General features: G+C 41.2%; 1 long non-coding RNA gene across 1 annotated transcript; it reads left to right on the forward strand.

Annotated features, from left to right (window-relative positions):
* Window positions 1–264: 264 nt before the first annotated feature.
* On the forward strand, window positions 265–13,527 carry LOC107984188 (uncharacterized). Its single transcript, XR_001747289.1, has 3 exons — window positions 265–371; window positions 5,645–5,745; window positions 13,482–13,527. It is a non-coding gene; the product is annotated as an uncharacterized LOC107984188 (long non-coding RNA).
* The last annotated feature ends 1,761 nt before the right edge of the window (window positions 13,528–15,288 follow it).

Here is a 15,288-nt window from a genome sequence, read left to right on the forward strand (position 1 = left end):
TTATCAGGGGTGCAGTCAATGTATGGGTGATAGACTTACTGGTAAAACAGAACAAATTTAACATCAATAATAAGAAAACATTAAAACAGTAAATACCAGAAGAATACTTCACCCTCTGCAGAGAACTTTGAAGGGGAATATGGAGACCTGGTGGGGCAGAGACTGCTAACTGTCTCTCAGTATTCATTCTACCCTTCTTCCTTTCAGTGACAGAAACTTTTATCTGGGTACATGGCCTCCCAGCTGAAGACTGCATTTCACAGGCTTGCTGGGACTTGGGTGTGGCCATATGACTGAGTGCAGTCTAGTGGAATGGGAGAGAAATGATGTGTGCAACTTCAAGTCATTCTCTTCAAGATGAAGCTGCTCAGGTGGGTGCTCCGTTTGTTCCCTCAGATTGGAATGTGGGTGAGGTGTTGGATGTCAGCCTAGGCAGTTAGGAGATTAGTACCCAAGGAGATGGTGGGGCTGAACACTAAAGGGCCATGGGTCCCTGGGTCACTCTGTGCTGCCGAGTTTCCTAGCAAGTCTTGATTGCTTCTTCTGGACTTTTGTATATAAGAGAAATAGACTTCTGCCTTGTCTGAACACATAATACCTTGTTACAGCATTGTAACCTGTGCTGTAACTGAAATATGCATGCCTTGTGCATACAAACAACTTGTGAATCATGAATGATGTCAAAGAAAGACTTTTCTGTAAAATGGAGCAACCCAATAGCCCAACACATGGTTTAGTAGCAATTGGACATCATAGGCAAATTATAAATCTTGACCTAAACCTTACACCTTATGCAAAAATTAACTCAAAATGGATCACACACTTAAATGTAAAAGGTAAAACTCTAAGAGTTTTAGAGAACAACAAAGGCAATCTTTGGAACCCAGGGCTAGGCAAAGAGCCTATAGATACCACAACAAAAGCACAATCCATACAAGGGAAAATTGATGTTGTGCTGCATCAAAATTAAAAATGTTTACTCTGTGAAAGTCTACGTGAAGAGGGTGAAAAGACAAACTGGAGGCTGACAGAAGATATTTGCAAACCACATGTCTGACAAAGGAATAGTATCTAGAATACATAAAGAACCCTCAAAGCTCAGTAGTAAAAAACCCAAGACAATCCAATTAGAAAATGGGCAAAATACATTGCACCAAAATCAATACACAGCTGGAAAATAATCCCATAAAAAGATGACCAACACTGTTAGCCATCAGGGAAATGCAAATTAAGACCACAATGATGTATCACTACACATTTATTAGAATGGCTAAAATAAAAAATAGTGACAATGTCAAATGTTGGCAAAGATGTGGGAAAACTGGGTTACTCATACATTGTTGGTGGGAATGTAAAATGCTACTGTCATTTTGGAAAACAGCTTGACAGTTTCTTAAAAAAAATCTTAAAGATGTAATTACCTGTGACCTAGCAATTGCACTCTTGGGCATTTATCTCCCAGAAATGAAAACTTATATTCACATAAAAACTTGTACACCAACGTTCATAGCAGCATTATTTGTAATAGCCCAAAGCTGGAAAAAGCCCTGATGTCCTTCAACAAATGAATCGTTAAACAAATTGTACTATATCCATATGGTGGAATACTACTCAGCAATAAAAAGGAGCACATTATTTATGCACTCAGTAACGTGGATGAGTCTTCAGGGAATTATGCTGAGTGAAAAAAGCCAATCCCCAAAGATTCTAAGATTCCATTTATATAACATTTTCAAAATGTATACATTAAGAAATGGAGATATTAGTGGATGCCAGGGGTTAGGAGCGAAGTGTATTAGTCAGGGTTCACCAAAGAAACAGAATAAACACACAGACACACAGATACACACACACACACACACACACATACACACACAGAGAGAGGGAGGGAGAGAATGCTACAGAGAAAGAGAGGGGAGAGCCCCAGAGATACAGAGACAGAGGGATAGAGAGACACAGAGACACAGAGAGAGAGAGAGAGAGAAAGAGAGAGAATGTTGGAGAGAAAGAGAGGGGAGATCCCCGGAGATACAGAGACAGACAGACAGATAGACAGACACACACACGCACACACACACACACACACACACAGAGGTAAAGAGAGAGAGAGAGAGAAATTTATTATAAGGTAATAGCTCACTTGATTAGTCCCTACTCTCTGCAAGCTGAAAACCCAAGAAAGCTGTTGGTGTACGTTAAAAGTCCTAGCTTTGGCTGGGGGTGGTGGCTTATGCCTGTAATCCCAGCACTTTGGGAGGCCAAGGCAGGCGGATCACGAGGTCAGGAGATCGAGACCATCCTGGCTAATGGGTGAAACCCTGTCTCTACTAAAAATACAAAAAATTAGCTGGGCGTGGTGGCGGGCGCCTGTAGTCCCAGCTGCTCGTGAGGCTGAGGCAGGAGAATGACGTGAACACGGGAGGTGGAGCTTGCTGTAAGCCAAGATCGCGCCACTGCACTCCAGCCTGGGCGACAGAGCGAGACTCCGTCTCAAAAAAAAAAAAAATTCCAAGCTTCATTTTTTTTTTCTTTTTTTTGAGACGGAGTCTCTCTGTTGCCCAGGCTGGAGTGCAGTGGCACCATCTTGGCTCTGTGCAACCTCCACCTCCCGGGTTCAATCAATTCTACTGCCTCAGCCTTTTGAGTAGCTGGGACCACAGGCATGTGCCAGCATGCCAGGCTAATTTTTTTGTATTTTTGTAGAGACAGGGGTTTCGCCATGTTGACCAGGCTGGTCTCAAACTCCTGACCTCAAGTGATGCACCCACCTTGGCTTCCCAAAGTGCTGGGATTACAGGCATGAGCCATAGGGCCCAGCCTAAAAGTCTGAGCTTCTGAGAGCCGATGGCATAGATTCCAGTCTGGGTCTAAAGGCCTGAGGACCAGAAGCACCACAGGTAGGAGGTCAGTGTCCCATCCCAGTTCAGGCAAAGGGCAAGGGAATACTCTTTCTCCACATTTTTGTGCTATTCAGGCCCTCAGCCTATTGGATGATGTCCACCTACATTGGGGAGGTCAATCAGCTTTACTTAGTCTACTTCAAATGCTCATCTCTTCTGGAAACACCCTCACAGACACACCCAGAAATAATGTTTAACCAGACAGCTGAGCAGCCTGCCATCCAGTCAAGCTGACACATCAAATTAACTACCACACAGGGTGTGGAGGGAGATTAGCCATCAGGAAAATGCAAATTAAAACCACAAATACCTTTCTCTTTTGGTGATTATAAAAAGGTGACACAAATTATTCTTGCAGTGATTGAGCTTTTCAATATTTTGATCGTGGTGGGGGCTACACAAATCTAAACATCTGATAAAATTGTATAGAGTGTGCATGTGCTTACATCCCCCCAACACAGGGGTGCAAGGAAAACTAAGAAAATTTGAATAAAACTGGTGGATTGTATCAACATAATTATCGTGGTGGTGATATTGTGGTATAATTTTTGCAAAATCTTGCCACTGGGGGAAACAGATAATACAGGATTACTTTGTATTATTTCTTTCTTTTCTTTTTCTCTTTGAGACAGAGTTTTTGCTCCGTTGCCCACGCTGGAGTGTAGTGGCATGATCTTGGCTCACTGCAACCTCTGCCTCCTGGGTTCAAGTGATTCTCCTGCCTCAGCCTCCTGAGTAGCTGGGATTATAGGCACCCACCACCAGGCCTGGCTAATTTTTGTATTTTTAGTAGAGATGGGATTTTGCCGTGTTGGCCAGGCTGGTCTTGAACTCTTGACCTCAGGTCATCCACCTGCCTCAGCCTCCCAAAGCGCTAGGATTACAGGCATGAGCCACTGCACCCGGCTTGTATTATTTCTTAAAACTGCATGTGACTCTACAGTTATCTCAGTAAAAATTTCAATGAAAAAGCTCCAGGAATCAGGAAATATCCACAACCTTTCTTAGGTGCACTGGTCAAAAACATTTTCTAGAGCAATGAGAAATAAAAGAAAATTAAGAACTTGATTTGGAAAGGATTGTAAGGTGAACTGTTATAGCTAATTCCTGATAAGAGTTTTACATACAAAGATATTATAAAGAGATGGTCTACATTTCATAAAATATGGCCTTTATACACCCAAATGACATTGATAAAAGTTGTGATGGATGATGAGTGAGTCAAAAGTTCCAAGTTTCTTATCTTCTATAAAGAGAAAAAAATATTGCTTTGTCATTGCTGTTGATAATTAAACACATGTTTAGGACCTTGGAAAACTTGTTTGCCATCTGTATTAGTTCGTTTTCATGTTGCTGATAATGACATACCTGAAACTGGGAACAAAAAGAGATTTAATTGGACTTACAGTTCCACATGGCTGGAGAGGCCGCAGAACCATGGCAGGAGATGAAAGGCAATTCTTACATAGTGGCAGCAAGAGGAAAATGAGAGAAGCAAAAGCAGAAACCCCTGATAAACCCATCAGATCTCGTGAGCCTTATTCACTATCATGAGAATAGCACAGGAAAGACAGGCCTCCATGATTCTATTACCTCCCTCTGCGAGGGGAGGGTAATAGAATTCTATTACCTCCGCAATGCATGGGAGTTCTGGAGATACAATTCAGGTTGAGATTTGAGTGGGGACATAGAAAAACCATGTCACCATCATAAGAATTAAAAGAACAACCACCTTCTGGACCATTGTGGAAGGAAAGCAAACTATCTAGTCTATAAACACACATACACACAAATGCAAACACTGTAAAAGTAAATATAAAGCAAGATGATATAACTAAGAGAAAAACAGTTACAATTAATCTAAAATGAGAAGTAGAGGAACTTGAAATGCTGCCTTGGGCTGGGGTGTCTTGAAGCCTGTGCTGGGCACAGGGATGGGGTCGGATTCGCCCACAGGTTGTAGAATCAGGAGTTGGGGGTCAATCCAAGAGACAAAAATTTAGGATAAAAAATGAAAACAGAAATGTAGGCAGGGAGTCCACACGAAGTGTGGCTCCAAGACAGAGAGGCAGAGTACAGATATGTGTCCACGGGATAGATATTGAGGTCACTTGACCAGTGCAAGGGGATTTAGCATGAAGGTTGATAGAGAATCTGGAGCGATTTTCCAAAGTATGAGGTCATAGCAGGACTTAAAAAAATACCTTTTTCTTTGCAGCAATAGGGAAGAGCTGCTTAAAGTGTCAGGCCAATTCAAAGATGCTGTCTATGGGAGATACACCTGAAATACCCAATGGAGAGAAAGCGTCTTCTAATATCACAAAGGGGAAGCAAAGAGAACTTGGGGAATAGAAGCTGGAGGCACCTAGGGGCATTCTTTTTGACAGAGTTGTCTATGTGCCTTCCAGTTCTCTCCTTGGTTCTCTCTTGAATATTTTCCAACCAGGCTTCTGTTACTGCTGCCTCACAGAACAGCTCTTACCAAAGTCACCGTGGGCTCCACTGGCTGCCAATCCAGCCCTGCCTTGCTGACTTACTGGGCATTGGTTTCGTTGACTCTGCTGAAACACTGGCTTCTAGGACACCCTGGCCCTGGTTCTCCTCCCGCCCGTCTGGCCTCCCCTTCTTAACACCTTTGCTGGTTCTGCCTCCCCTCTTCAGCCCCTACATGTTGGAAGAACTCAGGTCACAGTCCTTGGACCTCTTAAACAATTTTAAAAATATGATCTATACTCGTGTTCCAGGAGAAGTCATCCAGTCTCATGGGTTTAAGTTCCCTCTATAAGCTGATGAAAAGGAAGATACACATCTAGTCTGCATTTGAGTGGCTGCTGGGAAAGCCAAGGTAGGATTTCCCATCCCATTTACCTGTCTCAAACACTGGATAAACAATGCCATATGAGTCAGGTGTCTCAGCATTGGTGCTATTGACATTTTGGGCCAGATAATTCTCTGTTGTGGAGCTGTCATGTATTAGGGGATATATTATAGGAGATGATACGGCATGATATTATAGAATGTATTATAGGATGTGATACGATATCATATGATATAAAATATAGGATACAATATGATACTATAAGACATGATAGAATAGGATGTGTTATAGGATGTAAAAAGATATGATAGAATGGGATGTATTATAGGATCGATATGATATAATATGACATTATAGGATATATTATAGGATGTGGTATGATATTATAAGGTATACTATAGGATGTGATATGTGATAGGATAGGGTGTATTACAAGACATAGGATAGGATAGGATAGGATAGGATGTATTATAGGCTGTAGAGCAGCATTCCTGGTCTCTATCCCTTAGATCTCAGCAGCACCCTCCCCCACAGTTGTGACAATCAAAAATGTCTCCAGACATTGCCAAATGTCTCCTGGGGTGCAAAACTACTCTGATCGAGAACACTGGTATAGGTAGTGAGAGGAGAAGGCTAAAAATAATCCCCAGAGAGAAGGAGTAAAGGCTGGACCTGAGTACTCAATAAATGGGATTAATGTAAAAATTAAACATGCAGAACATTAAATCTAGAGAAAAAGGAGGATCCTGAGGTACAGTTTGTTAACCTTCTGACTGCAAAAATATTTCATATGTAGTTGGTACCAAAGTACTCCTCAAGAAACAATGTCTCCAAGGGCCAAGCTGACTGCTTATTTTACATGAAATTTCTGTATTTATGAAGGGAGGGAATAAGTTAAGTGGTTGGCTAGAAAAGTCAAAATTCCTGATGTTTATTTGCCTGATTGCTGACCTTTTTAATAATTTTGTTTTTCCATTTAATGTTGCCAAGTGGAACTGAGTATTCCTTATGGACTCATACGTACATAAGCCCAGAACTCTTTTTAGCTCAGTAGATGTGTTTCTAGGGCCAATTTACATGGTCAGTCAAGATCACCTATTAACGCAGCAATCACAAAATGATTGTTTTAGGGTGACTGCATAGGATGATGGGCCACTCACTGTCACAAAAGATGAGCAAATTAAATGGAAGGTTGAAGGCTAATTATACAGAGTCCTTTAGTTTTAGGGTTTCCCCTCTTCTTCCTTCTTTCCCTCTTTCATTCTCAATTTCCATTAATTTCTTCTTCCCTTATTAATAATAATATTCTTTTGCTGGTGCAGAGAAAAAGACAAGCAGTAGAGTAGAGAAGTGAATATAGGAAGAGAACAGTATATTTTTGACAGCAGTTGGGAAGGAATTATAGTGTTTAAAACAAAACCCTAAAGTCTCTCTATGATCACAGGTCTATTATTAATCTTTCTGGAGTAGAAAGAGATGGCAGATGCATTCTGTTGCTAATATTATCTTTTGTAAATCTTTGCCTTGCTTTAGAATATTTCCATAATGAAGTCCACACAATACCTGCCTTTTGCAGCTTTTATTGAAATAGTGATTTTTGTTATTTTAACTCACAAATATAAAAATTTGCCAATATTAATCTGATTTTGCTTTATGTAAATTCAGATGGTTTAAAAATAAGAGCCAAGGTAGAAAAGTGAGTGTAGTGCTAAACTTTATGAAAATATTGGAAGTGAATGTTAAAGACGAAGCAGGAAGTTTGAAAGTCTTGATTATGTTTTCATAAATATTTGTTCAGTAGATACAGCAAATTCCAATATGTAAACACTATTAAAATAAGCCTTTTCTTTTTTTTCCTTCTCCATGAGTTTTGCAGAATTTCTAACCATGTTTCCCCTCCCTGCACTCACCATTGCTAATTTGCATGTTGTTAGGCTACACGTTTAATAACTATGTAGAAGTAGAAAATGAAAGGCAGTTTTATGCCATGGACCATAACTTTTGTGCATATAACATTACCAATGGCATTAGAGACACAATGGAATTAATGGATAGGTCCCATTTATGACATCTCAATGATCTCTGAAGGGAGTGGTTCAGATTTCACAAATTCTCTTCCTTCCTTCCTTCCTTCCTTCTTTCCTTCCTTCCCTCCTGCCTCCCTTCCTCCCTTCCTTCCTTCTTTCTTTCTTTATTTCTTGAGTCTCTCTATGCCACCCAGGCTGGAGTGCAGTGGCGTGATCTTAGCTCACTGCAACCTCCGCCTCCTGGGTTCAAGCAATTCTCGTGCCTCAGCCACGCAAGTGGCTGGGATTACAGGTGTGTGCCACCACGCCCAGCTAATTTTTGTAGTTTTAGTAGAGATGGGGTTTCACTATGTTGGCCAGGCTGGTCTTGAACGCCTGACCTCAAGTGATCCATCCGCCTTGGCCTCCCAAAGTGCTGGGATTACAGATGTCAGCCACCACGCCTGGCCACAAATTCTTTCTTTTTAATCTAGCTTTTAAAATGTAATTTTATTTAGATTCTGGGAACACATGTACATACTTGTTACATGGGTATATTGCATATGGTGAAAACTGGGCTGCTAGTGAACTCGTCTCTCAAACAGTGAATATTGTACCCAACAGGTAATTTTTCAACCCTTTCCCCTTCCCACCCTCTTCACTTTTCGAATCCCCAGTGTTTATTATTTCCATCTTTATCAGACTTCCAAATTCTTTTTCTTTTCTTTCTTTCTTTCTTTTCTTTTTTTTTTTTTTTGAGACAGGATCCTGCTCTGTCTCCCAAGCAGGAGAGCAGTGGTGCAATCCCGGCTCACTGGAGCTTTGACGTCCAAAGCTCAAGCTATCCTCCCACCTCAGCCTCCCAGAGCACATACATTCTTCTGACAGACTGGGAGAATATGCTTCATTTCATGAGACAAAAATGAAACTTGGTGCACATTTGCATTTATTTTGCTTAAGAGAGCTGAATGGTGTTTTCAGAGGTAGATTTACTAATTAAATTCCTAACGAGTGAACCGAGGGCCAGGCTTTATCCAGAAAAAGCAAGTATCTTTCAGAAAACTTGTTCAAATGCATATAACCCTGCTTATTCTTTCCCCTAGTTAGAAGTGCATTCTTTAAGAAATGCCCTAGCGATGACAAGAGGCTATTTTTTTGTGACTGGGGAATATCTTTCCACGAGGGCAAAGTTTCCTGCAGTGGGAATACCCTGAGTTACAAGCCTGGCTTAGGCGCTTCAGAATCCCTGACTGAATCTTGGGAAAGTCACAGGTTTTCTCTGGACCTTTGGTTCCTTATCTGTAAGATAAGGTGGTTGACATAGAAACCTTGCAAGCTTCTTTCTCGCATCCCATGATGACATACTCTTCAAGTCCTTAAGCAGGATAATTATGGCAAATGAGGGAAACTTCTGGGGGAGTGAGTTGCTTTAGATAGTGAATTTTGTTCTTCTGGCGAACTTATGTTTTTGGTACAAATTAATTTTTTTTCTCTGCCTGGTTCCTCTTGGAATCAAAGCAAACAAAATTCTCTGCCTTTTTCCCCCCCTCTAAATTTCCCTTATTCAATTTTCACAAATGAATGCAACTATCATCTTCTAAGTCAACTTTAGGAGAGGAGTATGAACTAGCTGAATGACGACAGCTTAGTAGAAAATCTGCCTTGTTCATCTATCTTGTTGCTATATTTTGTTGCTAGAGAGATAAACATTTTGTGGCAAATCATGGTGCGAGTCAGGATTTTGGCACAAGACAGATTTTGTAGACGCAGAAAAAAAGGTGTTTGTGTCTAGCTCTGAATCCAAGTTTCTGATTGAATGGATGAGAGAAGATCAGATGAACTTTTCCATTTATTCATTCTGTTTCATCTCGGAGCTTTGCCTGGGTCAGGACATCTTACTCTCCAGTCACTGCCTTCAACCTCGGTGTGCTCAATTTTTTCTCTGGTGTCATTTACCTAAACTCCGAAAACTCCACTTATTTCACAAAACCCTTCTCAACCAATTGAATCAAAATTGGTGCATTCCAAACCTCTCCCCTTCCACTCCCCTCCAACCCTTGGTTTTGATACAGGAATAGAATCAAGAAGGGAGTCATATATTCATTTTGCTTTGAAGAATTTTCATTTACTCCAGTGCTTTTGAAAGGTTAAAAACCCTTTCTGTGCCTATTCTTTTTGGAATATTGTCTCACTAAGACTGAGGAAAATGTCCTTGAATGCTTTAATTCGATTTTCAAGAAGTGTGTTCTCCAAACTCCATATTTTGGCCTTACCCAAACTTTAATCTCCATATATCCTAGGATATTAAAAAATGCATTTTTTCATGCAACTATAAATTAGACAATGCTGGGTGAATAAATAATAACCATCTCAAATGACTGCTGCAGGAAGAATGCTTGATAGTGTTAAACAGTCAATGCTGCAAAAATTGGAGAAGCAGTTTTAGTTTCCAACTTTAAGCAAGAAGCTCATCTTCTCCATAAAATGATGTTAACCATCCCCTACCCTGGTCCCCACCAGCTCTGCTCCCCTCTCTGTCCCTCGCCAGTTACCACAGGGCAGACGCTGATGAGATAGACGGATCATGCCTGCATCCACATTACGTCACCCTGTTAGAGAGACAGTAACTGCAGCCATGTGGACTCCTGGTCAGAATTTGGCAAGGGTACTAGAGGAAAGCAGGTCAGGTGCTATGGCTCACGCCTGTCATCCCAGCCCTTTAGGAGGCTGAGGTGGGTGGATCACTTGAGTCCAGGAGTTTGAGACCAGCCTGGGCAACATAGTGAGACCCTGTCTCTAGAAAAAAATTAAAAAACTAAGCCGGGTGTGGTGGCACATGCTTGTAGTCCCAGCTACTTGGGTGGCTAAGGTGGGAGGACCACTTGAGCCCGCAAAGTCGAGGCTGCAGTGAGCTATGTGATTGTGCCACTGTATTCCTGCCTAAGTGACAGAGCAAGATCCTGTCTCCAAAAAAAAAAAAAAAGGAGAGAGAGAGAGCAGGCACTTTGGTAGAAATCCATACACAAAATGCAGCCATCAAGCAAAGCACACAGGGAGCTCCTTGAATCAAGAGGCACATATTCTGGGCTGGGTGTGGTGGCTCACACCTGTAATCCCAGCACTTTGGGAGGCCAAGGCCGGGGCCGACAGATCACTTGAGGTCAGGAGGTCAAGACCAGCCTGGCCAACATGGTGAACCCCACCTTTACTAAAAATACAAAAATTAGCTGGTGGTTATGGTGCATGCCTATAATCCCAGCTACTCGGGAGACTGAGGCAGGAGAACCACCTGAACCCAGGAGGTGGAATTTGCAGTGAGCCGAGATTTCCCCACTGTACTCCAGCCTGGGCAACAAGCGAGACTCTGTCTCAAAACAAAAACAAAAAAACAAAAATAAACAACCAAAAAAAGGAGAGTCAGATATTCCAGAATGGCCACGGGACATGGAACCAGTGCTTGGTCACACTCAGGGGATTTCACAAGCTCTTTCCCGAGGAGAACTGGAGACACATGTCAACACCCAGTATGAATTCTTTGGGATACAATGACTATAACTGACATACAGTGCATTTTATGTTACCTGGATTCCTGAATATGAATCCAGTTATTCTCAATAAATTTGCATTGTTTCAAAAATCCTCATAAAGGCTGGATGTGGTGGCTCATCCCTGCAATCCCAGCAATTTGGGAGGCCAAGGTGGGAGGATCGCTTGAGTCCACGAGTTTGAGTACAACCTGGACAACATAGTGAAACCCTGTATCTAAAAATAAAATTTAAAAATTAGGTGGGTGTGATGGTGCGCACCTTTAGTCCTAGCTACTTAGGAGGCTGAGGCAGAAGAATTACTTGAGCTCAGGAGTTTGAGGCTGCAGTGAGCTATGACCGTGCCACTGCGCTCCAGCCTGGAAAACAGAATGAGATGCTGTCTCTAAAAAAAACAAACAAAAAATGAAACCCTTATAAACACCCTAGCCTTAGGTGCTGCAACAAATAACTACGGTTGATTCAGTAGCTTAATACCCTAGAAGTTTCTCGCTCACAAAATGATCCAATGTAGATGTTTGTTGCCAGCAGGGACATTTGCACCACGTGGTGATTTAGGGACCCAGTTCCTTCCGTCTGTGGATCTGTCCTGTCCTAGGGGTTCAAGCTCTCTTCATTGAGATGCTGGAAGGGGGAAGCCACGTTTTGTCTGCTGTTGTCATTGAGGCTGACCCCTCACCACTCAGTGTAGCCTCAGAAAAGAAATCTGAGCTAATCTGATTAATTTTTCTAAGGCCTGGTTTAATGAAGGTCTTGAACCAATGTGGAAAATGACACTTAGAAGTAAGTCCACTGGGAGATCTCTGGGAAAGGCTTTCTTTCCCTTAAGGAAGAGTTACAGGGCAGTTGCTCTTTCTTCTTTTCTTTCTCTGAACAATTGTGTCTCTCTCCTGTTCCCTTTAACCATATGATGTGCCTGTCCCCCCTTCACCTTCCACCATGAGTGGAAGCTTCCTGAGGCCTCACCAGAGGCAGGTGCCAGCAGCATGCTTCTTGTACAGTCGGCAGAACCACGGGCCAAATAAACCTCTTTATGAATTACCCAGTCTCAGATATTCCTTTATAGCAATGATGATAAACACAGTTTATTATTGAGATTTTTCTATTTGCAATTATAAGAAAATACATACTGGAAATGGAGCTGAAATGAGTCAGAGGCTTTTGTCAGTTTTCAAATTATTTACCAGGAATATTTGATACTTGTATGTTTCATGTAAAAAAAGTAACATGTTTGTTATTTACCACCTCCCAATTGATTGCATGTCCATTGTGCATTGTGGGTTATTTCATTGTCATTTGAAGTAGCTGCTTAAACTGAAATAGTTTATTTTGCAACTCACTTGACTGCTAATGTTAAATGTTACTGTGTCTTCTGATCATGAGCATATCCTAGAAGCAGCTATTTGCCTATGAGAATTCCAGTGCACACCAAACTGACCCTAATAGGTCTGATTTTGCTGGTGAACTTGAATAGTAGGAAACCCCATTGCTTTTGTTGTCTTTCTTTAAGAAAATGACATAAGGTGCACAGTGATTGCGCAGTTTCCCTTAATCCCCAGTAAAAAGTTGGCTTTCAGAATTAATTCAGCATTGATCTATTGCTTTGTGACCCACATCAGTCAATTCAATAATAATGGAAAATGCTTTGGGTTCATTAATAGCTATTTGGAGCATTCCCAGGGTAAAAAATACAGTGTCTATTATTATTAATCACAAAATGACCCTTCTACTGTTTAGAAATTGTACAGAACATTATGATGAAGTTTATTTCAGTTCAGAACTTGATTACAGTTCTGCCCATCTGCAGTAGGAATTTCCTTGTGGAGCTCCAACCATGCGGTTTTATTGCTTGGGCTTTAGTAGTACTGAGAGCACATTGTTAGAGAAAATGGTCCATTAATCTCAGTGGCAACAGTTTAGTTTAGCCCATCCCTATAAATCCGTGATACAAGTTTTAACATGATGCAGATGTTACTGTGATTCTAGAGATGAACACTTTCTTTATTCTGTGCTATCCCAGTTCATGAGTATATTTTCTCCCTTGGGCAGAAAATTAAAGTGCTCACAAGACTTATTTTTAAAGGCATTTTTTTCTCTTCAGTGTATGGGAATTAAATAAATGCCTTTGATTCTGGCTTTGCCATGGATGCTTTTCTTGAGCCGAATATAAGCCTAATTCTGTGTTTTAAGTTCTACCTGATTCTTTTTGCAGTATACTAATGCATTTCCTGAAGAGTAAAATTGAGCAGTGGAGGATGGGACCATTCATTCATTCAATACGTGTTTATTGAGGACGTACAGGACACAGCCTTTGCACCAAGGACACTCACAGACAGGTAAACAAGTCATTAAAATGCTTTGCGATGAGAGCTGCAGCCGAGGAAAGCACCGTAAGTGAGTAGTGAAGATGGAGCAGCTGATTCAGCCTTGATGGGGCAGTACGAAATTTGTGGGAGAGGCCGGACGCGGTGGCTCACGCCTGTAATCCCAGCAGTTTGGGAGGCCAAGGCGGGTGGATCACGTGAGGTCAGGAGTTCGAGACAAGCCTGGCCAACATGCGAAACCCTATCTCTACTAAAAATACAAAAATGAGCTGGGTGTGTTGGTGGGTGCCTGTAATCCCAGCTACTCGGGAGGCTGAGGCAGGAGAATTGTTTGAACCCAGGAGGAAGAGGTTGCAGTGAGTAGAGGTCACACCACTGCACTCCAGCCTGGGAGACACAGCCAGACTCCATTTCAAAAAAAAAAAAAAAAAAAAAAGAAGAAGAAGAAAAAAAGAAATTTGTTGGAGAAGATAATGTTTTAACTCAGTCTTGAAGGATAAATGGGCATTAGCAGAAGAAAGAGCTTCTAGGCAAAGGAAATAACATGGGGAAGGAACAGAGAGGCTTGAGAGAATATGATGCATTCCAGAGAACTTCCAGGATTTTATATGAAGGGTTTTAGTACAGGAAGGTCTGTGTTGAGGGGTGGTGAAATTTGAGGTTAGAAATGTGGCCAGGACCAGATCCCAATAGGGTTTATATGCAATAAAAGTAATACTTCCCCTAAATGGGATCAAGAGTTACGAAAAGATTTCATGCAGCAGAGAGGTTCAGTCACCTTGTGGAAGACACATTTCTGACATGGGGAATGGGTTGAAGGATGGGATTGGAGGCAGGGAAACATGGCAAGAGTAATTGGGGAGATGTGCTCAGGTGTCACAACTTGGATGCTGGTGATAGTGTTACTGGGATGTAGTAGGTAGAGGCAGGTTGCTACTAAATGTTCTATAACACGTAAGATAATTCCCACACCAAAAAGTTAACTAGACCAGAATTTCAACGGTGATGAGGTTGAGAAACCCTGGGTAACAGTATGATAAATATTTCTAAGCCTAGTCAGTTGGCTAACTTGCACTTTTGTTATGATTACTTGGATATTACACAAACACAGAACTAACAAGTAGAGATGCGTCTGCTCCCTGATAGAAGTATACAGAACATTAGGACCAGAGTAGCCTTCAAGGTCAGCTAGCAATGTCTTTCTTTCTCAAGCTCTCTCATTAAAGATAAATTCGTATGTTTTAACGCAAAGCCCTAAAGAAGAAAGAGGGAGAGGTGCAACTCCTCTTGCTGTTTCAGGCAGTTCCTGGGGCACCTTCCAGAAACCCTGGAATTCTGCTCCACACAGTTTGAAAAATATTTATCTAGTTTCACAGTGCCTTAGTCAACCTATAAGAAAATGGAAACTTAGATTAAGTGATTTTCCTAGGATTTTATGTCTGGCTGGTGACAGACCAAGGTCTTCCGATTCCAAGCCCTTCCACAATAGAGCAGGCAAAAAATTAAACCACTTATTCTTGCTCTTTGTTTTCATTTTGCCAAACTGTATCTGTATGGTCTATTGAAATACACAATAAAATTATATATATATAAACACACACACACACAATTATATATAATATATATTATATATGTGTATATATAATATATAATATATATAATTATGTATAATATATAATATGATTAGTTATATAT

Source organism: Homo sapiens, chromosome 10 (genome assembly GCF_000001405.40).
Source record: "Homo sapiens chromosome 10, GRCh38.p14 Primary Assembly".
Lineage (NCBI taxonomy): Eukaryota > Metazoa > Chordata > Mammalia > Primates > Hominidae > Homo > Homo sapiens.